The sequence below is a fragment of the Homo sapiens genome, chromosome 4 (assembly GCF_000001405.40).
Source record: "Homo sapiens chromosome 4, GRCh38.p14 Primary Assembly".
NCBI classification, from domain to species: Eukaryota; Metazoa; Chordata; class Mammalia; order Primates; family Hominidae; genus Homo; species Homo sapiens.
The window spans coordinates 2,411,289-2,430,670 of NC_000004.12; the positions used below are offsets into that span (position 1 = coordinate 2,411,289).

Below are 19,382 nucleotides of genomic sequence, written 5' to 3' on the forward strand. Positions count from 1 at the left end.
AGAGCTTCAAAATGCTTACTGTAAGAAGGAAAAAATCATTCCATTCATCCTATCCAACTATTCTACATTAATTACCATAACATAAAATGTTCTATTCTACTTGTGCTTAATCTATTCAGATCAGTCAAAAAATATCCATTCACTTTTGTCTTCCTCCTTCAAACACTTGACTTGCCCATCAATATCTAAGTTTTTTTTGCAATCCAACTGAAAAAAGACAAAAGTAATCGTTTCACCAAATGGGACTCATGTAAAATCCGATGACAGTCCAGTGCCTTCCTGCAGGAAAGGAGACTTTGCCTGACGCATACGGGTGCCAGCTCTGGGGTCCCGCGGACAGGAGTGTAAATCCCAGCCCTGCTTCCTCCTGGCTGTAGAGGTTCGAGCAAGGTGACTTGTCTTGAGACCCCATTTGTAAAACAGGGTGCATCAGCATAGTTTAAACGTTCACAAATGACCCTCACACCTCAGTGCCTTAACGGATAGAAGCTCATCCCCTCACATCACAGTGCAGCACAAGTGCACCCCAGCCCCTTCCCCGCTGCCACCCGAGCCCTGGAGTCCTCTCCTAGGTCCTGGGCATCCAGACAACAAATGGGGGGCACAGGCCATGGGAGGACAGCATGAGAGGTTTGGGGGCCAGTCCGACATGGTGAACCCCATTGCTGCCCACACCGGCTGCAGTCAGCCCTGGTCCTGACAACCATAGAGGAGGCAGGTGCTCACGTGGTGAGTGAGCACATGGCAGCATCTCCCCCCTGGGGCGCAGGCAGGGGCAGGGCGCATCCTTCATCCTCAGGGGGACCTGTAACCAGATCCACGGGGATGCCTGAGGCGTACTAAGTCAGGGTCTGTTCCCAGCAACCAAGTACCCGCCACCTACCAGAAAAAGGCACAGGGGTGGCAGGCCCCCACTGAGACGCTTTCACTCTCAGAATGGCCTGGCTGGAGGAACTGGAAGCTGTGATGGCCTCTGAGACTCCAAGAAACACTGACATGAAACCCTAAGGTAGCTAAACGTTGGTTCTGTGGAAGTCCCCGCCTGCTTACACCACCCACTGGTTCTGCCATTATTGACTGGGGTCATTGGTTGAGCTGTTACTGTGAGTCTTGGACAGAGATGATCTCCTCACATGCTCCCAACAATTCCAGAAGGCAGGTCTCAGCATCCCCACCTGACACTAGGGAAACTGAGGCACAGGTGTGGGAGGGACGAGAATTCCCAGCCAGGCCCTGGAGCTCCAATGCTATTTAGACACATGACCGGCAACCACTGAAGACAAGAAAACACTGGGGAAGCACTGAAACCCACAGCCTTCTCAGCATTTATTTTTCTTCAAATTGGAATCAGCTCACCATTATTCACCTTTGCACCCGGCACACCCTGTAGCTGCACAAGGCTGTCAACTCAAACAAAACCACACCCTGGCTGTCACTTACCAGCTCTCAGATGTGCACCTTCACACATTTAGAGCAAGCACATCCGGTATTCTGGGAATTCTTGGTGGCTGAAAATGGCCACTGAAGCCGCCTTAAATTAGCCATCTCTCCTCTTAAGGTCGAACAAAATGACCTAAAGACACTCAGCCTGTGGGGCAGGACACTGAGGCCCTGCTTCCCTCCCCCGTCTGCCCTGCCTGCTGAGTCCAAATATCAATTACGTGAAGCTCTCGACTCTCTGCCTCTGACTCGCCCATTTAACAGAAACCATACCAGACGTTTCCAGTAAGCGCCCAGCCCTGCCCTGCCAGGGAAGGAGAGCCCTGAGTGATGACAGAGTCGGCGCAGGGAGTGATGCTCGCCCTCTGTCTGCAGCCCAGGCTCTTAATTGCCCTGCAAATGCCGCTGGCACAAGGCAAGGCATGTGAGGTCCCACACTCCCCCAACCACAAACAGAAACCTCAGCAAAGCGCAGGAAATGAGACGTGAGCTGCCCGCTGAGAGTCACTTCCTAAGAGGCCAGGGAGTAGGTTCTACAAAGCCACCTCAAGAGCACATGGGCTCTCAGGCGTCCGCACTGCACTCCCGCTGACCACAGCCTGAGTGCTGATGTGGAAAAAGGAAGGCTTTCTGGGAGGGGTGGCATGACCTGGATGCAGAGCCGCCGGGGGAGCCCCAGAGCCTTCTGAATTCAGAGAACCACACACAGCTGAGAGAGACCGGTGCGCAGGGCCAGCCACGCCTGCTCTGACTCAGCACTGCCAAGCGTCCTCCCAGGACTTCCTGAGCCCCCTCCGTGCCAGGCGCCCGCCAGGAGAGGGAGCACCGCCGGGCTCAGCCTGTGCAGCATCCGGAACACTGGCTTTCCAGCAGCTCACCTCAGAGAGAAACGTGCCAGGCCAAGGACAACCCCCTGCCACAGCTGGGCACTTGGAGTTTATCAGCTGAAAACGAATTCATCAGTAGCCTGGCTAGAAGTTATCACTCAAATCCCAAGTCCCTGGAACAGGGTCTGTGCTTGGCATGGGGCATGGACGCAGTGCTGTAGGGACAGCCATTCGTTTCCCAGGTGACGCAAAGCAGGGAAGTCAAGGCACATGCCAGTGACTGCCCTCTCATAGGCCCCACTCGTGCCAGGCCCCAGTGTCCACCAAGACCCCTCCCACAGCCTTCCAAGCCCCAGCTGTATACTTCTGGGGGATCTCTGTCATCGCCCCTCACCCTCAGCCACCAGTGGGGAGCCCCAAAAGGAGGACTGGGCTGCGCCTCATCTCTGCACTTCGGGACCAAACAGATATATCCAGACCTTGCCCCACCCCCCACTCTGGGGCCCGCCCCCATCTGCCACTTCGTTTCCAGGGTGCCGCCCCTCTCAACCAGGTGGCCAAGGTACAGAGTGCTGGCCACCAATGGGCAGCTCTCTTCAAGGGCCCATGACCAAGTGGGCTGGAACCCCGAAAACCCTCAGGTGACTGAGGCTGGGTTAACAAGAGCCGAAGGGCAGGAAGTCCCATACTCAGTACTGCTCAGTCCTGGCAGGTTCCCACAAAACATGCCAGTGGGGTTGGCACCCAGGCAGACTTTACCAAACCCAAAGGGGTCTTCTTTCATAAAGCACACACACCCAGCAAGTCACTCAGGCTTCTCTTGGCAAAGGCCATGTCATCGCTAATCTGGGCCTGGAATGTTTACAGGAAGTTGCCAAATACACATCACTCAGTAAGGCAGATTTATAAGGAATGTTCTCCTACAAAGCGGGGGGACAAGAAAGGTTAATAGCCCCCACTCTGAAAACGGTCTGGGGGTGCAGACAAGCGAGCTCTTCTCGGAGTGCAAGGTTGAGCATGGTAACCAGCCACATGGGAACTACCCCATCCACCCAGCCAGCATAACCCACTGAGGGTCAATTCCTCCTCAAAGATGGAAAACACAAATTCATCCTGAGTGATATTAATATGCTCTTTGGTGATGGCCAGGAAATCTCTCCCAGGTCCAGGTAAGTGTCCAGGTCCCTCTCCCCCATGCCGGGAATTCTCACCTCCTAGTGACCAGGAACTTCCAGCCAGGTCAATCAATAGAAAGTCATAACCAAGCAAGAAACACAGCACTGAGACTTTTGTTTCAGATGAAGACACCAACCATGCCAAAATGGTTTGCCTTTCTAAAGCATAAACTCTCTTGAAAAGACTTTAAAGAAAGGCAAGAAAGTATTTCACCAACATCAATAAAGCAGGACAAGCTGACAGGTTTTCCTGCACCGTCTCTTCCTGGGAGTGTTCAAAGTCAGGATAATACTTACAAGATCTGAACACTTTATACCAAGAAAAATCATATTGGTGTTTAAAAGACTGATTAAGAAAGTGAATAGAAATATAATTTGCAAATGTCATTTTAATGTTAAACTTTTGTATTATTCATCAGGCATTCTTTTACTCAACTTAGGTAGCTAACGTAGTAGCTAATTTTTATTCAGATATCAAAATGTATGTCACACAGGAATATTTTTCAGCATTTCCAATTGCTTTTTATAACTATAAGAACAGTGAATAATATTTTCATTTCAGAATATTTTCCACCATATTGTGATGAACAAGAAGCTCAGTGCTGGCCAAGCACAGTGGCTCACACCTGTAATCCCAGTGCTTCGGGAGGCTGAGGCAGGAGGATTGCTTGAGGCCAGGAATTTGAGTCCAGCCGGGGCAACATAGTGAGACCCTGTCTCTACACACACACACACACACACACACACACTTAAAAATTTATAAAAAGAAGCTCGCTGTGCAGTTTTAAACCAAAGCAGGAATTCAATTAAAAATTCAGTTTGAATTGTACATCTATCTAAATACAAAGTGGGAAAAAAATTCCTGACTGCAGGCAACAGTCTCCCCCAGACACATCCTCCCACAGCTAATGTTTAACACTTCAACTCTTCCAGGCCCAGAATCTTCCCAGGACTGACTTTGTGCTTATTTGTGCCAAAATGTGTTAAATTAGACAGGAAGGGGAAGCATAAAATTCAATTCATAATCCAAGGCAAGAATCTGAGCTTTGGTTTGAAAAATGAAAAGCTATGGAGTGACATAACATACTCCGACCCTTCAAACAATCAAGATATTTAACTCCAAAGACATTTCTCAAATAAGAGACAGCCCAAGTTCAGACTGCCCACAGGGCACCAGCTCCCAGAAAAATGCTATGGCCAGAGACAGATCTGAAATGGAGATACGTCTCAAGTCCAGAGCTCTGGAGCTACTACCAGACAGCATGCCAGGAGAAGACAACGAGAAAAAGGAGAGATCCACATCAATCCTGTTCCATCCCTTCTCCGGAGGCACACAGCTCTGGGCTGATCCCTGGGATCAGCTGATTCACTGGCTGTGCCCTCTTGGTGCCCGCCGCCTGCCTGGAAAGGCAGCTGCCTGCTGAAGAGGAAAAGTTGGGAACGCAATTCCTAATTCTCAGGACAACGTCTAGTACCATGTTCTACCTTTAACCTGTCTTCCCTAAACGGAAACAGACAAGGCCATCCTGAAATTACTCAGCTACTCATGAAACAGAGTCTACAATTATTTTTCCTTCCTTTTCAACACGATTAGAAGGGTGATCCCCCAAATGCGGCCTCTTCCACAGCCACGTCCGGAGGGGCATCCCCTAGTGTCCCAGCAAGTGCCTTCAGCGACACCAGAATGTTAGTTAAGACCTAAGACACATTTCTCCAGCTGCCTCCCGCCATTTGTCACAGAAAATAATGCTGCTGCACGCCCCCAAAACGCCGTTTTACAAGCAGACTTGGTTTTCAGTAACTGGTGAGGAAAAGTCACTGGAACCAAACACCATTCATACAGCTATCCAGAGCGGAGGCCACCGCCCTACCCCGGCAGAGGCACATGGGGGCAGCAGGCAGGACCGAGAGGGGCTCGAAGGCGCCGCAGGAGGAGAGGCTGGGCGCAGACGGCTCGGCCCCAAACCACACCCAGCGCCAGGAAACGCAAGGCTCGGGACGAACCCTTAAGAAGTCGCTGCTAGGGACAGGGAGGTTGGGAGCAGGGAGTGACGCCACAGGAACCCTGAATCCCCCCGAGTCCCCTCCCAATCAAGCCAAGGCCGAGCAAGGGGCGCCCCATGTACCGTAAGCCCTCAACCCAACACTCCGGCAACGACAAACAGAATTCCCCGACCTCAAAGGCCGTGAAGCACGCGCCCTTCGGGGCCCTGAGTGAGCCCTCAAACCTCCGTGCCGATCTTCCAAACCCACCTCCCGCCTTCCTGGAATGGGCGCACGCGAGGCACGGATTTCAGGAAACCTCTGCCGTGACAGCTCACCCACGGTGGAGGCGGAGGCCTGGGACGCTGGACGGAGAAAGGCGGCCAGTGGAGGGAGGAGGGGTAGGTCGGCAACGCGGTGGCCTCGGACGTCCGAGCTGCCCGGACGAAGCGCTGGCCCCACTCCCGCCCTTGGTCGCCGCGGTGACCCCACCCGAGCCGTGACCTCCCCCAAGATCTCAGGGCCCGGGCCTCCCCGCTGCGCCGGCCCCAGGGTGCCACCCTCGGACGCCCAGATGCGCCCTGGACCCTGCGCCGGGATCCTGAACACCGCCGCGCCTTCATCCCGCGCCGAGCGCGCCCGGCCCTGCTCCGGCTGCAGCGGGCACGAGCCCCAGGCGGGCGGCGGGGACGCAGCGCCCGCAGTGCGACTGGCGCAGCCGCTGAGGCACGGGGCGCGCCGCCCGGACCCCGACCCCGCGGCGCTAGGAGAGGCGCGGGCGCCGGCTGGAGAGCCGCACCTCCCGCCCCGCCGAGGCTGCTGGCCACGGGCGCGCTCGCCCCAAGGGCCGGGCGGAGGACCTGTCCCGGATTCCAGAGGACGTGGGTGGGGAAGGGACAAGGATAGGGACAAGGGAGGGGACGCGAACTGGGCCGAGGTGTGGGTCAGTCCTGGTTCGGGAAGGGAGGCCGTTGGCAGGGCCATCAGGATCCTCTCTGGACATGGAAGGACGGGTCTGCCCTGGACCCAGGGATTGGGAAATGTGGGTTCTCTCAGAACCTGGGGAAGTGGGGAGAGGGTCTGTTCTGGAGTGCGGAGGGAGATCTATTCCGGGCCCAGGACAATGGGGGTGGGGGCAGGACGGGAATGAGGGGGCATTCCTGGTGCAGGGAGGGGAGACGGAGAAGTAGTAGGGGGTCTGCTCCGGGCCCGCGGGCTGGGGACCACGAAGTGTAGGAGGGCACCGTCCAGGACCGGGATGAGGAGGGAGAGGGGCCCGTTGTGGCCCTGGATAGAGGGGGAGGGAAAGTGCGCCCCGGCCCGAGAGGAGGAGCAGGAGGGTCAGTCCTGGACCCGGGCTTAGGAAGCCGGGAGGGAGGTTCGGATCCGCCTCAGAGACAGGGCGATGAAGATCTGTCCAAGTCTTGGAGTGGAGGGAAGGATGTCGGCGGTGGGGGAAGAGGCCGGCCACGGACAGGGAAAGGGAGTCCGTCTTGTAGGGCGGACGGGCGGTCCTGGGGAAGGGAGAGGCCGCGACGCGGGGGGCGTCCGGCCCGAGCGGGGCCGCTCACCTTGGGTTTGTAGAGCCACTTTCGGAACCTGTTCATCATCGCCGCGCCGGCCCTGGCCGGACTCCGGGCGGCCCTCGCCCTCCGCAGCGCTGCGCCCGGGCCCGGCTGAGGCGCGGGGCGGACGCGGAGGCACGGCCGGAGCCCCCGCGCTGTCGCAGGGAGGCTGGCTAGCGAAGCCCGGAGCGCCGAGCGGGCGGCGGGCAGGTGCGCGGGGCAGGTGCGCGGCCCTGAGTATGCTCTGCAAGCGGCGCGCCGGGCAGACCTCAGACCCGGGAGTGGGCGCTCGGGCGCACGGACAGACGCGGGCACGGGGGCGCGCGGCTCCTCGCTGCTCACTGACACCCAGCGCTCCGCTGGTCACGGCCGCCCCGCGCCGCACATGCGCCTAGGGCGCCGCGAGCCCCGGGCCCACCGCGCGCTGCGGGCGGGGCGGGCGGGGCGGAGGCGGCCCAATCCCTGCGCGGGCGCCGCACCCCGCCCGAGGCGCGCTCCCTGCCGGCGGGGCGACCCGCCGCGCCCGGGTATCCAAGAAACTACAAGTCCCGAAAGGCATGGCGGGGAGGTGGCGCCCAGGGCTTGGCGTCCCGGGCCGCGCCGCGGCGCTGTGTATTGTGGGAGTTGTAGTCCACCCGATGGCGGCGGAGCGTGCCGCCGGTTGCTAGGTGACGACGCCAAACAGCCGCGGCGTCCTGCCTACCGGGAGCTGACGGACGACGACTGCCAACACCTTAGCCCCAGCTGGCCCAGGAAACTGCTGCGGTGGCAGGTGGCGGCGGCAGGAGGGCTCGGCTGCCCCGAGCGCCCGCCAGGTACGGGGGCGGGACAGGTGCGGGGCGACGCGCCGCCGATTTTCATGACCTGCCGGCCGGTTCCCTCTCGCTCGCTGCTCATCTTGCTTCTCCCAAACACCTCTTCTGTCTTCTTCCCAGCTCCCCGATGAAAGTGAACGGTGCCTCTTTTTTTTTTTTTAAATCACCACTATCAGCGGTGCGTTCTAAAAAGATACTCTTCCGCCCTCGCTACTCCCCCCAGTGGTGCCCTAATTTGTACCTTAAAACGCTCACCTCAATCTGAGTACCTGCTATGTGTCAAGCAGAGAGCTAAAAACCCACACGTGGCCTCACTTAAACTTCCCATTGACAGCCAGAGAAGCAGGCACAACGAGGCCGGCGTGCCCTGGCTGTGGGGGTTGCATCCAGATCACGGCGGATCTGGGTCGGCCTGACCCCACAGCGCTGCACTTTTCCCTGCCGCACCACCACCACGTCTCTGGCTTGTTGTGAAACGTGCAGATGTAAGACACAGGAGATGGAAGTCATGCCCCCCTCGGTTCAGAATTGAGAAGTCTGACCTGTTCCTGCTTGTCCTCACTGGCCAGTGCCAGGTGCTCAGAAAGGTCCGTGGGCTCCATGACCACTTTATTCCAACAGACGCGATGTGAGCCTAGGCGCGCTGGCATCTAAGATTTCTCTTAGTTGGGGGTAGGGTCCATGTTTATTTTTGAGTAACTGATTGATTTTCCCTACTCTCCTCTTCCTACCACCCAGTCGACCCTCTGAAGGGCAAAACCCCTCTGGAGTTTCCCCTTATCTCCAATTCCTTCCCACTTGTTCTTTCTGGAAACTACTCCCATCAGATTTTCACCCAACCACTCCTCTGAAGCTCTTTATCAAAGTCATCCTTGACCTTGATGTTGCAAAATCCGATGATCGGGGTCAGCGCTCATCTCTTCCTTGAACTGTCACTACCACGTGACCCAGCCGACTGTGCCCTCTCCGTGACACAGCATCCTCACTTGGCTGAAACAGATCCCACTGTCCACTTCTCCTCCTCGCTCCTGGCCACTCCTGCTTGATCTCCTTGGCTGGATGCCTCCCCTGCTCACCGACCTCTCAACACTGGAGACCCTGGACTCAGTCCTTGGAACCTACTCTATCCACTCCCTCCCTGGGGGATTTCCTACAGTTACATGGTTTTATAAACAACCATTTTCTCCCAAACTTCTCAAAACCTATATCTCTAGCCTCAACCCTGAAACTCCAGACCTGTTTACCTGTTCTTCACCATTTGGACGCCTAACAGATCCTCTCAAATTTAACGTGTCCCAAACCACACTCTCAGTCTTCCCCCATAAAACCTGCTGCTCCCAAAGCCATCATTTCTTCAGCACAGGATCTTGGGGTAGACACTTGATGGGCTTGTCCACTGAGTGAATGGCTGTTCTCTGTGGGTCTATCCTTGGCCAACTCCAAGGCCTGGAGCAGTTGTATCTGCTCAGAGGCTCCCTTCCTGTGTTTTATAGTTTGAAATTGTGCATGGGATGAAGGCTGAACTTGGGGAAGTGGGGTATCAGTTAGGTTTAGCTGCATGTATTGAAAAATCCCAACATCACAGTGGCCTAAACAAGAATATTACTCATATTTTTATAAAAGAGGTCCATGGAGAGGCAATCGTGGTTGGTATGGCAGCCCTAAAGTCCTCAAGGATCAGCTTTTCTATCTGCCATTCACGTTTCTTCATGATCCAGGATGGCTGCCCACATTCCTGCCATCACCTCCTCGGCCCAGGAACCAGCTGCAAAAGAGAAGATGGATATGCCTCTCTCGTTCAGGGAGACTTTCCAGAAGTCTCACACCTTTCCACTTCTTGAAGGTGGTGGGAGAACTTAGCCACACAACCATGCCCCAGCTGCCAGGGAGGCTGGGAAATGCCATCTTTCAATTGGGCAGCAGTAGACCCAGCTAAAAATCAGAGTTTTCTTATTTGGGAGGAAAGGGGTAGTGGAGATTGAAAAGCAACTAGCAAAAGCTGCCACGTGGGGTTGTGCTTTAAGCACAAGCCATAGGGGCATGACTTGGTAGCAACCCTTAGGAGACTGGCTTTAATCGGGAGAAAAGACTATATTTTAATTAACATACATTTGAGATCTTAGGTAAATGAGTTATCTCCTAGTGGTTGAGAGTGTTGAGCTGTTTTGTGTCTGATGGAATTTAAACCTCCTCATATAATCTCATTTGTGTCTATAAAATATTTCCTAAGGAAAGAGAAGCTTTAGTCTGCCCACCCTTTTTTTTTTTTTTTTTTTTTTGAGATGGCGTCTCGCTCTGTCGCCCAGGCTGGAGTGCAGAGGCACGATCTCAGCTCACTGCGACCTCTGCCTCCCGGGTTCAAGCAATTCTCTGCCTCAGCCTCCCAAGTAGCTGGTATTACAGGCACCTGCCACCACGCCTGGCTAATTTTTGTATTTTTAGTAGAGATGGGTTTTCACCATGTTGACTGGTCTGGAACTCCTGATCTCAAGTGATCTGCCCGCCTTGGCTTCCCAAAGTGCTGGGATTACAGGCATGAGCCACCGCGCCCAGCCTAGTCCAGCCCACCTTTAAAGTTGCCTTAAATATAAGATAGTCAAGTCCTGATCAATGGAGTTAAAATCAATATGAGAAAAAAATCTTTAAACTTGAGAATTAAATCCCACTTCCCACATAGATGGTACTTCACTATTAAAGCTGAACTTTGGAATGCTCAGGTGGGAGGATCGCTTCAGGCCAGGAGTTCAAGACCAGCCTGGGCAACATAGTAAGACCCCTGTCTCTACAAAAAAAAAAAAAAAATTAAGCACAAAATTAGTCGGGCGTGGTAGTACATGCCTAGAGTCCCAGCTACCCCGGAGGCTGAGGCAGGAGGATCACTTGAGCTGCAGTGAGTTATCATCGAGCCACTGCACTCCAGCCTGGGTGACAGAGTGAGACCCTAAATCAGGAAAAAAATAAAATCAGGCTGAGAATTTGAGAATGCATGAATGTAGCTGAGATGCTGAAAGCAGGCGTCACAGTTGGATGAATTTTAGTACCTATTTCCTCCCCAAAGAGGTGATTGTTTTGATGAAGTTCCTAGGCTAATTTCAGTGGGATTCAGAATTCAAGCATCTCTTTTCCTTACATTCACCTTCACATACACCTGCTCTGCGCCAGATTCAGGGGTGCAGAGGCCCCGCCCCAGGGACCTTCAGGCCGGACAGTGAACCAGGGTTCCAGGGGCAGGGCAGGACAATTTGAGTCAGGCTGGACTCCAAAGGAGCTCTTCACCCCCGTCCCCATCTTCAACTTGGTTTGTCCATTTATTCCTTCCAGTTCATTCCTACCAGGTCCGCCCTGGATTGGGGGGCGGGCTTGGCATGGCCCTCTTCCTCCTCCTCGATTTGCATCACCAAAGGGTACCTAGGATCATCCTTTCTCCAGAATGCTCCAGCTCCAGGACAGGGGGAGACGGCAGGGAAACTGTTCCACCTTGGCAGCAGCTCCCACCACACACATGCAGACCATCCACTCTCACCGCCCCCACCAGGCGCAAGAAGGGGCCCTTTTCCTGGGTGTATACCCTGTTCCTCCAGGCAGAGCTGTATCCAGAGCAGATTCAAAAAGGCTGGGGCAAGGGGACCCCATCCCAGGGCAGCCTGACCCACAACGTGACGTGGAGGCAGGGCAAGAAAACTCACTCTTTAACATTGTTTCTCTAGAAGTAGACCTTTACATTTATTTATTAGACAGGATCTCAATGTGTCACCCAGCCTAGAGTGTGGTAGCACAGACATAGCCCAAAGCACCTTCAACCTCCTGGGCTCAAGGGATCCTCCCACCTCAGCCCCCCAAGGAGCTAGGACTACAGGCGTGCCACCACACCTGAGTCATTCTTTAATTTTTTTGTAGAGAAGTCCCCAGTTACGCTGTGGAGTTTTAAAAAACGTCTCAGTGTGGCTGACCCTGGCGAAGATGGGGAGTGGGATTTGTGAGCTGTGAGCTCACTGCCTACAGGGAGCCCCCACTGCTCTCAGCAATGCCTGGAGTGAAAGCCACAAGTCCCCCCTCCCCAAAGAGCAATGCCCCAGAAAAGTGCTTCCTGCTGCCAGCAGCCTATTGCCCCCTGGCTGTGTTATGGCTGCCTGGATCCACCTACCCACCAGGGTTGGCCACCACGCCCACACTGCACCACACCGCACCGCACCCCTGCCATACTGGTGGCCTGGCCTGCTGGGACCCTCCCGAGGAGAGGGGCTGAATTCAGAGAGAGCAGGGACTTAGGGTGAGCCTGTCACAAGCTTAAGGCCCTGCCCTGAGTATTCCTGCCTTGGCAGGCTCAGGGGAGGGTGCTCAGTGGGCCTCCTGGGCCTTTCTGCTCACAGCTGTTGAAATCCCCACGCCAGAGACTCAGCTAGAGGGGATCAGAGGAGAGTGAAAGGACCCTGAGGCTGGGGTGGGGTGTGGGTGGTCTCTCTTCCATGGCCCAGCCTTCCAAGAAGCAAAGGTTTCCCGCAGGATGGGCTGAGGCAGCTTAGGTGGCAGGTCCCCAGGGGCAGGCCATGAAGGGGGTGGGAACCCTCAGAGGGTCTGGGCAGCCTCACCCACAAACCTCTCTCATCTTGCCCAGGCAAGCCTGGCTGCAGCATCTAGATTTCAGCATCTGTGGATTTGCGGGTTTAATGGCTTCTGATCTGGTGTTCTCCAAGCCAGCAGCATCACTGTCTCTTCCCTTGCCCCGAATCATCAGGACCGCACTGGCGCAGGAACGCACCTCCAGGCAGCCTTGCTGGTCTCCAGACATGGGGTGGGGGGAGGGGGACCCAGCCGGGGCCCAGGGCAGGCTCCCGGGCAGTGACGGTCCTGGCTGTGCCAGAGGCTCATGCTCGCTTTGTTCTGGGAGGCCTGGTCTCCAGGGCCTGTTTTCAGCACCAGGGCTTCAAGCCAGATTTCCAAATTCCAAGCGGCCTTTCTTCTGGCCTCCTTAGAGAGAGGCTCCTGCTGGCCTCTGTGTCCATGCACAGCCAGGCTGGTCCCTAAAGCAGCCCCTAAAAGGACAGCCTGGCGTGGTGGCTCACGCCTGTAATCCCAGCACTTTGGGAGGCTGAGGCAGGCAGATCACCTGAGGTCAGGAGTTTGAGACCAGCCTGGCCAACATGGCGAAATCCTGTCTCTCCTAAAAAAATACAAAAATTAGCCACATGGTGGCTATACAAAAATACAAAAAATAGCCACATGGTGGTGGGTGCCTGTAATCCCAGCTACTCAGGAGGCTAAGGCAGGAGAGTCGCTTGAATCTGGGAGATGGAGGTTGCAGTGAGCCAAGAGCACGCCATTGCACTCCAGCCTGGGCAACAAGAGCAAAACTCCATCTCAAAAAAAGAAAAAAAAAGAACAGCCCATGTCAGGCCTCAGGTGGTGCAGCCAGCAGGGAGGTGGGGACACAGGCCCTGGGCTGATGCCATCCCTAGCCAGGTCCAGCGTCACAGCCTCTTTCCCTAACTGTGCAGCTAAACCCACTCACAGAACATGCCAGGTGCTCCTCCTGGAGACACCCCCGGGAGCCCCTGCCCTCCTGCTCTGTCCTTGTCCTGCCAGCCAGTGTCACCTTGGGGCTACCTGCATCGCAGCCTGGAAATTCCCCACAACGACAGTCACTTGGGTTCAGCCCCTGCTTCCCAGGGCACCCCCAGCCGAGACTCCTCTGCATCCCTGACTCTTCCTGCACTGAACGTGTTCGGGGCGTCCCTGGCTCTGAAATATCATGACTCATTCCCTGTGCTAAGCTGCCAGTGGGCCTTGTCCGTCCAGAAGACCGCATCCTTCAGTTCTAGGGCGTTTTCTTGTTATTTCTCTCTCTTGTCTCTCTGGAACTCCTGTTAATTGGGGTTTGGACCTTCAGGAATCGTTCCCTGATTTTCTTAGCGTTTTCCCCTACTTTCTATAGCTTCATCTTTTTCTACTCAGGGAGATTTCCTCAACTTTACCTTCCGTCTCCTGTTTATGTTTTTAGTTCTGTCATCGTATTTTGGTTTTCACGAGCCCTCTCTTTTTCTCCAGCCATTGCTTGTTCCTTGGACGCTGTATCTCCTCTTCTCTTGCATGGCAGTGCCTGGTTTCTAGGCTTTTTCCTGCCTTGTGCATCGTTTTCTCCTGGTTCTTTTCTTATGGTTTCTATGTTTCATGTCAGAGATTTCTCTAAAGTGTCTGGTGACACCTGGCCTCCCCTTCTCTCTGAGTCTTGGCCAGGGAGAGAGTCAGGGGGCAGGTCAACATGGACCCTTCAGCACGGCCAGGATCGGTGTCTCACCAAGGACCCTCCAGTGTCAGTGGTGGTTGGTGGGGGTCGCTTGCATGTTTTTAGTCAGTCCCCAGCCTGGAGGGTCCAGGTCTGGGGACTGCTACCTGGGGCTGTTCTAGCTTGTTGCAGGGTAGAGGAGAGGTGCTCCCACTGTCCCCAACTTTGGTGGCCCTTCAAGCCCAGCCTGGCCCAGAGCAGTGGGTCAGTCATGGAGCAAGAGGAGGGTGAGAAGGGCCCCCCTCTGCCCAGCGCTGCCCTACTGTCCTGCGTAGTCCAGCTGGAGCCCAGGCCTGCACCACACCCAAGGATGACGGCCTTTGCTGACAGGCCCCGCCTCCTCTGAGGATAGTTTGGGGGCCACATGTTGTCCTTAGAGCTGGTTCCCAGGGTCCCAGCCTCCCCCTAGGCAGCTTCTCCAAGGTCCCCTGGGAGGGGCTCTGGGCAAGCCTGTCCCCTGGAACTGCTGCACCTCTGGAGTGTTCAGTGCCCCCGCAAGCCCTCCCCAGGGCCCTGTTCCCCCATCGTCAGGATGGCGGCGTTGACCCCAGGGACCCCAGGCTCCTTCTTGCCCCAACCATGTGTGATGAGGTCACCCTCACCCAGGACCTTCTGCTCCCCAGCAGGGCCTGATGAAGAAACCGTCACCTTCCCGGGCAAAGCTGAGGGACGCTCAGAGGCTGTTTCGAGAGGTGCCTGTGCTCTCTGCCGTGGGCCCCTTGCAGGGGTCACCCCATCCAGGAGGCATGGCTGTGGGGCCTGAGGGGCACTCGGCCAGCTTCGGTCTGTGGTGATGGGGGTGACCTGATGGTGAACTCACCCAGGCCAGCCTGGGCCCCTGAGCCGCAGAGGCCTGCAGGAGACAGTGCAGGACATGCACCTTGGGGTACCTGCCAGGGCCCTCACTCACATCCGGCCCTCCCCACTGCTGTAGGCCCGGCACCCTAGCCAGGGCCCCCAGTCACATCCGGTCTTCCTGCTGCTACAGGCCCAACACCCTGGCAGACTCCTGTCGCTGCTGGGGAGGGTCCTGCGGCTACATCCCAGGTGTGGAGGGCGTGACCTGCACGGTTTGTTCTTAGGCTTCTGCCCTAAGAAGATGGCCTACTATGGAAAATGCATTGAAACTGTGATCGAGCAACTCGACAAATTTACACCCAAGAGGGACAACCCTGAGCAGTTCCTGGAGGCTGCGGCCACCTCCCTGCAGGTAGGATCTGCTGGGGGCTGCTGGGAGGCCACGCCAATGGCACCTGTTGTGCAGCTGTTCTGGTTAACAGCATCAAATGCCTTCCTAACGACTGCCTTCCTTCCACATGGGGAGAAGCTGACCGTGTTTTCCACAGAGACCTGCTCTTCGTATGGGGAGGTGCTCCTGGCACCCAGAATGTGTGTCAGGCCAGGCTCTGGTGAAAGAAGCCTTGGCCGGGACCCGGGATATGACATCCACACTGCGGTTCCATCCTCAGTCAACACAGATGAGAAGGGTCAGCCCTGGAGCGCCCCCATGCCCCACCCCCACTTTGGGGGGCATCTTATCTCGGGAAATGGGTCCTCCATCCCCCAGGCGCCCCAGGGCTGTGGCAGTGAGGGTGCGCAAGGCCACAACTTGTGCTGTATTTGTGGTAACCGAGACTTGGGAATCACTGACTGGGTCTCCGACAGAGGCAGGGGCTGGCCTGGGCAGTGAGGCTCCCGGGGAGCCGAGGGCTGCAGGCTTCTGTACACACCTCCTTCATCTTCCTACCCACACCTGGAAGAAGTCACAGGCCCACCTGGAGGCTGCCCAACTCCTCAGCTCCTGTCCTCCCATCCCTGGGTTTTCCTCACAGCTCCATCCTGGTCCTGGCACCCCCTGCAACCTCGGCAGCCCTGCCCCACTCAGGGGCCTCCCTGTCACCTGGTCTCAGCTCCCACCACGAGGTGCTGATCTCACATCCACCACCTGTCAGTGGCATGTGCCTGGGGAACAGGAGCTTGGATTGCAGGGCCCCTGCCTCTAGGAATGTGGGACTTGGTCTCCATTGGATGGGGCCTCCAGAGGAAGCTGAGCCCACCAGGGGAAATCCTGGGGGGCTGTCACATGGGCCATCACCAACCCATCATTGCCCAGGAGCAGGGAGCGGGCACTCGCCCCCTGGAAAGAGGGCGCTCATAGCAAGTGTGCTAATTCAGGCTGCCTGCCTGTCCTTGCAGGCCACAGCCCTCTGTGCCGCTGTGCTCTGGATGAACTTGGCCTATGTGCGCTGCTTTTCTGCACGGCCCCTGGGGGCTGCCCTGGCCATGCTCCAGCTCCCGCTCTCACTACCTGCTCAGGTGCACCTGTGCTGTTCCCCCAGGCCACAGTCTGAGCCCACCTTCCCTTGGGGTAGAATGAGGGGTTCATCCTTCATTAGCTACCTCTGGGGCAGCCTCAAGAAAGCCCAGAGGGGAGGTGGTGTGAGTGGGTTACAAAGGCTACAGGGGTTGGGGCCAAGGCCTCTGCCGTAAGAGAAGGCCTGGGGCCCCCACCCATCCCTGCTCCCAGCTTCTGGAAGAGGCGCCTCCTCCGGCTGGGGCCTGGCAGCCAGCAGGGGCTGGAGAGGGGAGCAGGGCCTGTGTGCAGAGCTGCAGGCCTCCGTGGGCACCTCTCCCTCCACTTCAGCACCCTCTGGCCCCCAGCTCTTTCCCTGAGCCCCTGAGCACTGTGGGGAAGTGATGCAAACAGCTCGGGCCCAGGTTCATCCACACTCCTCTTCCCAGCTAAGGCCTCAGCACGACGGGCACACCTCTCATCCCGCCGGCCTGCCCTCGCCTTGCACGTCCAAAACAGACAATAGCGAAGGCCCAGGTCCCCTTGGCCAGAAGCCCGTCCTGGGAGCTGGCGTCACCCACCCCACTGCCTGGGCCCACCTGTAGCCCGGCCCCTCTGGCCAGCCCAAGAGCAGCTCCAGCAGCTCCTCCTATCCGTCCCCCTCATTTCCCTCAGGATCTTTCCCGTCAGCCACCCGTGCTGCTACGTCTCTCACCCTAAAAACATTTTTTTTAAGTCCTCTGTACTCCCCTGAGGCTCCCGCGGTCCTTCCCTTCTATCTAACAGATTCCTCGAAGTCCCTGCCACCAGCGGCAGCTCTTCCTCCATCCTCCCTCACACCCCTCCCTGCGGACTTCCCCCACCCCTCCACCCACAGCGCCAGTCTGGGTCACCCCGCACCCCCTTGTTGCCAAATCCAGTGGGGCAGCCTCAGCTCCTCTGACCCAGCTGACCCCGCCCCCAGCTCCGGGGCCTTCCGATCAGCTTCCTGGGTACCCCCTGCGCCAGGCCTGCATCTCACCTGGCAGCCACTCCTTCTCAGGCTCGGGCCTCCCCTGTCGGGTGTGCGGGGTGCACGGGCTCAGCGGCTGCTCTCTGCTCTCTTTGCTATACACACTCCTGGTCCCCTCGCCTGCTGACAGCTCCTGCTCCTCCCTCCATCCTTGACCTCTCCCGAGCCTGGACTCACATCTCCTTGGGTGTCCAGTGGGCACCTCCCGTGTGACACGTCAGTAGATGAATGAATCCATGTGACCTCCCCCAGAGCTGCTGATCCGGGCATCCCCAGTTCAGCCGGCAGCCGCTCCGTCTCCCCTTGCTCCAGTGGGAACCCTGGCGCCTCCTGGGCACCCCCATTCCTCTAGACCACATCTGTTCATCATCAGCTCTGCCTTCGACTCTGCCATGTGTGCACTCTGCTCCAGCTGCACTGGTCTCCTAGTGTTTCTGGAACATTCCACGCGCTCCCCACTGCACTAGCTGTTGCCTCCACCTGGGAAACTTTCCCCCTGATGCTGTCTTGGCCTGCGCAGCCACATAGCACCTTGGCAGGGAAAGGGGTGTGTGTTTACCCCTTCCTCAAGCAAAAAGTGGTAAAGTTCATGTCTTTATTTCTTGATAATAACCATTACAAAAAAAATGAGTTTGTTACAACAAATAGTTTGGGTTGGGTTTGTTTTCTATAACCCACAGATTATTAGTGGTAGATGAGACTAATATGTTACCTGGTGAGTCACAATGTGACTATCACAGGTGTGCATTTCCACGGGGAGCCTGGCACACCGATCCTACCGGCAAACTGGCAGCGGCAGACACAACGGATATCCAGGGGGCTGCCCAGCATGGATCTGCACAGATGCCCCCATTGGTGGCAAGCAGGCTTGTTCCTCAGAGGCACTGGTTTTTCAGATCTTTTCTTTCTTTCTTTTTTTTTTTTTTTTGAGACAGAGTCTCACTCTGTCACCCAGGCTGGAGTGCAGTGGCGCCATCTCTGCTCACTGCAAGCTCCGCCTCCTGGGTTCACGCCATTCTCCTGCCTCAGCCTCCCGAGTAGCTGGGACTACAGGCGCCCGCCACCACGCCCAGCTAATTTTTTGTATTTTTAGTAGAGACGGGGTTTCACTGTGTTAGCCAGAATGGTCTTGATCTCCTGACCTTGTGATCCGCCCGCCTCGGCCTCCCAAGGTGCTGGGATTACAGGCATGAGCCACTGCACCCAGCCTTTTCAGATGCTTTCAAAAGCCCCTCACAAGTCCGAGAGGAATGGTGCATTGGATCCTGATCCAGTTTGGACAACTCGCTTTCCTCTCCAGCTATCAAGAAATTGTTGCAATTCACTGATTTTGCTAGGCCAAGGCTCAAGAGTGCCACTTGCCAGAAAATTACGCAATACATAAACCAAACGGCAGACTGCGGACAGCAGACTGCGGTGAAATGCCAGAAAATTACGCAATACATAAACCAAACGGCAGACTCCGGACAGCGGACTGCGGTGAAATGCCAGAAAATTACGCAATACATAAACCAAACGGCAGACTCCGGACAGCGGACTGCGGTGAAATGCCAGAAAATTACGCAATACGTAAACCAAACGGCAGACTGCGGACAGCAGACTGCGGTGAAATGCCAGAAAATTACGCAATACGTAAACCAAACGGCAGACTCCGGACAGCGGACTGCGGTGAAATGCCAGAAAATTACGCAATACGTAAACCAAACGGCAGACTCCGGACAGCGGACTGCGGTGAAATGCCAGAAAATTATGCAATACGTAAACCAAACGGCAGACTCCGGACAGCGGACTGCGGTGAAATGCCAGAAAATTACGCAATACGTAAACCAAACGGCAGACTCCGGACAGCGGACTGCGGTGAAATGCCAGAAAATTACGCAATACGTAAACCAAATGGCAGACTCCGGACAGCAGACTGCGGTGAAAGGCAGTGTTTTGGGTTAAATTGTGCCCCTCCCCCAAAAAAAAGTACTAAGCCAGGCATGGTGG

General features: G+C 56.2%; 2 protein-coding genes across 6 annotated transcripts in view, besides 12 other annotated features; one reads left to right on the forward strand and one right to left on the reverse strand.

Moving 5' to 3' along the window:
- ZFYVE28 (zinc finger FYVE-type containing 28) overlaps positions 1-7,357 on the reverse strand; it is a 149,049-nt gene extending 141,692 nt beyond the window's left edge. For all 4 annotated transcript variants that reach the window (NM_001172656.2, NM_020972.3, NM_001172658.3 and 1 more), the window contains exon 1: positions 6,997-7,357. In NM_001172656.2, the coding sequence (NP_001166127.1) occupies positions 6,997-7,035 (39 nt within the window). In that variant the 5' untranslated portion in view covers positions 7,036-7,357. The remainder of the gene's footprint in view (positions 1-6,996) is intronic.
- Positions 241-761: an enhancer, noted in NCBI's record as "H3K4me1 hESC enhancer chr4:2413256-2413776 (GRCh37/hg19 assembly coordinates)". NCBI's record gives its function as "activates a minimal SCP1, AML or CMV promoter by ChIP-STARR-seq in primed H9 embryonic stem cells {active_cell/tissue: H9 hESC(primed)}" and the evidence as "EXISTENCE:reporter gene assay evidence [ECO:0000049][PMID:30033119]".
- Positions 762-1,282: an enhancer, noted in NCBI's record as "H3K4me1 hESC enhancer chr4:2413777-2414297 (GRCh37/hg19 assembly coordinates)". NCBI's record gives its function as "activates a minimal SCP1, AML or CMV promoter by ChIP-STARR-seq in naive H9 embryonic stem cells {active_cell/tissue: H9 hESC(naive)}" and the evidence as "EXISTENCE:reporter gene assay evidence [ECO:0000049][PMID:30033119]".
- Positions 2,275-2,524: an enhancer, noted in NCBI's record as "active region_21173". NCBI's record gives its function as "activates an Ori minimal core promoter by ATAC-STARR-seq in GM12878 lymphoblastoid cells {active_cell/tissue: GM12878}" and the evidence as "EXISTENCE:reporter gene assay evidence [ECO:0000049][PMID:35858748]".
- Positions 4,959-5,517: an enhancer, noted in NCBI's record as "H3K4me1 hESC enhancer chr4:2417974-2418532 (GRCh37/hg19 assembly coordinates)". NCBI's record gives its function as "activates a minimal SCP1, AML or CMV promoter by ChIP-STARR-seq in naive H9 embryonic stem cells {active_cell/tissue: H9 hESC(naive)}" and the evidence as "EXISTENCE:reporter gene assay evidence [ECO:0000049][PMID:30033119]".
- Positions 5,518-6,076: an enhancer, noted in NCBI's record as "H3K4me1 hESC enhancer chr4:2418533-2419091 (GRCh37/hg19 assembly coordinates)". NCBI's record gives its function as "activates a minimal SCP1, AML or CMV promoter by ChIP-STARR-seq in naive H9 embryonic stem cells {active_cell/tissue: H9 hESC(naive)}" and the evidence as "EXISTENCE:reporter gene assay evidence [ECO:0000049][PMID:30033119]".
- Positions 7,082-7,241: a silencer, noted in NCBI's record as "silent region_15166". NCBI's record gives its function as "represses an Ori minimal core promoter by ATAC-STARR-seq in GM12878 lymphoblastoid cells {active_cell/tissue: GM12878}" and the evidence as "EXISTENCE:reporter gene assay evidence [ECO:0000049][PMID:35858748]".
- Positions 7,362-7,591: a silencer, noted in NCBI's record as "silent region_15167". NCBI's record gives its function as "represses an Ori minimal core promoter by ATAC-STARR-seq in GM12878 lymphoblastoid cells {active_cell/tissue: GM12878}" and the evidence as "EXISTENCE:reporter gene assay evidence [ECO:0000049][PMID:35858748]".
- The window catches only part of CFAP99 (cilia and flagella associated protein 99), a 44,048-nt gene continuing 32,332 nt past the window's right edge, over positions 7,667-19,382 (forward strand). For both annotated transcript variants that reach the window (NM_001193282.4, XM_047415685.1), the window contains exons 1-2: positions 7,667-7,805; positions 15,171-15,298. In NM_001193282.4, coding sequence (NP_001180211.2) covers positions 15,188-15,298 — 111 coding nt within the window. In that variant the 5' untranslated portion in view covers positions 7,667-7,805; positions 15,171-15,187. The remainder of the gene's footprint in view (positions 7,806-15,170; positions 15,299-19,382) is intronic.
- Positions 7,832-7,881: a silencer, noted in NCBI's record as "silent region_15168". NCBI's record gives its function as "represses an Ori minimal core promoter by ATAC-STARR-seq in GM12878 lymphoblastoid cells {active_cell/tissue: GM12878}" and the evidence as "EXISTENCE:reporter gene assay evidence [ECO:0000049][PMID:35858748]".
- Positions 11,467-12,057: an enhancer, noted in NCBI's record as "H3K4me1 hESC enhancer chr4:2424482-2425072 (GRCh37/hg19 assembly coordinates)". NCBI's record gives its function as "activates a minimal SCP1, AML or CMV promoter by ChIP-STARR-seq in naive H9 embryonic stem cells {active_cell/tissue: H9 hESC(naive)}" and the evidence as "EXISTENCE:reporter gene assay evidence [ECO:0000049][PMID:30033119]".
- Positions 12,058-12,647: an enhancer, noted in NCBI's record as "H3K4me1 hESC enhancer chr4:2425073-2425662 (GRCh37/hg19 assembly coordinates)". NCBI's record gives its function as "activates a minimal SCP1, AML or CMV promoter by ChIP-STARR-seq in naive H9 embryonic stem cells {active_cell/tissue: H9 hESC(naive)}" and the evidence as "EXISTENCE:reporter gene assay evidence [ECO:0000049][PMID:30033119]".
- Positions 12,648-13,237: an enhancer, noted in NCBI's record as "H3K4me1 hESC enhancer chr4:2425663-2426252 (GRCh37/hg19 assembly coordinates)". NCBI's record gives its function as "activates a minimal SCP1, AML or CMV promoter by ChIP-STARR-seq in primed H9 embryonic stem cells {active_cell/tissue: H9 hESC(primed)}" and the evidence as "EXISTENCE:reporter gene assay evidence [ECO:0000049][PMID:30033119]".
- Positions 13,238-13,826: an enhancer, noted in NCBI's record as "H3K4me1 hESC enhancer chr4:2426253-2426841 (GRCh37/hg19 assembly coordinates)". NCBI's record gives its function as "activates a minimal SCP1, AML or CMV promoter by ChIP-STARR-seq in primed H9 embryonic stem cells {active_cell/tissue: H9 hESC(primed)}" and the evidence as "EXISTENCE:reporter gene assay evidence [ECO:0000049][PMID:30033119]".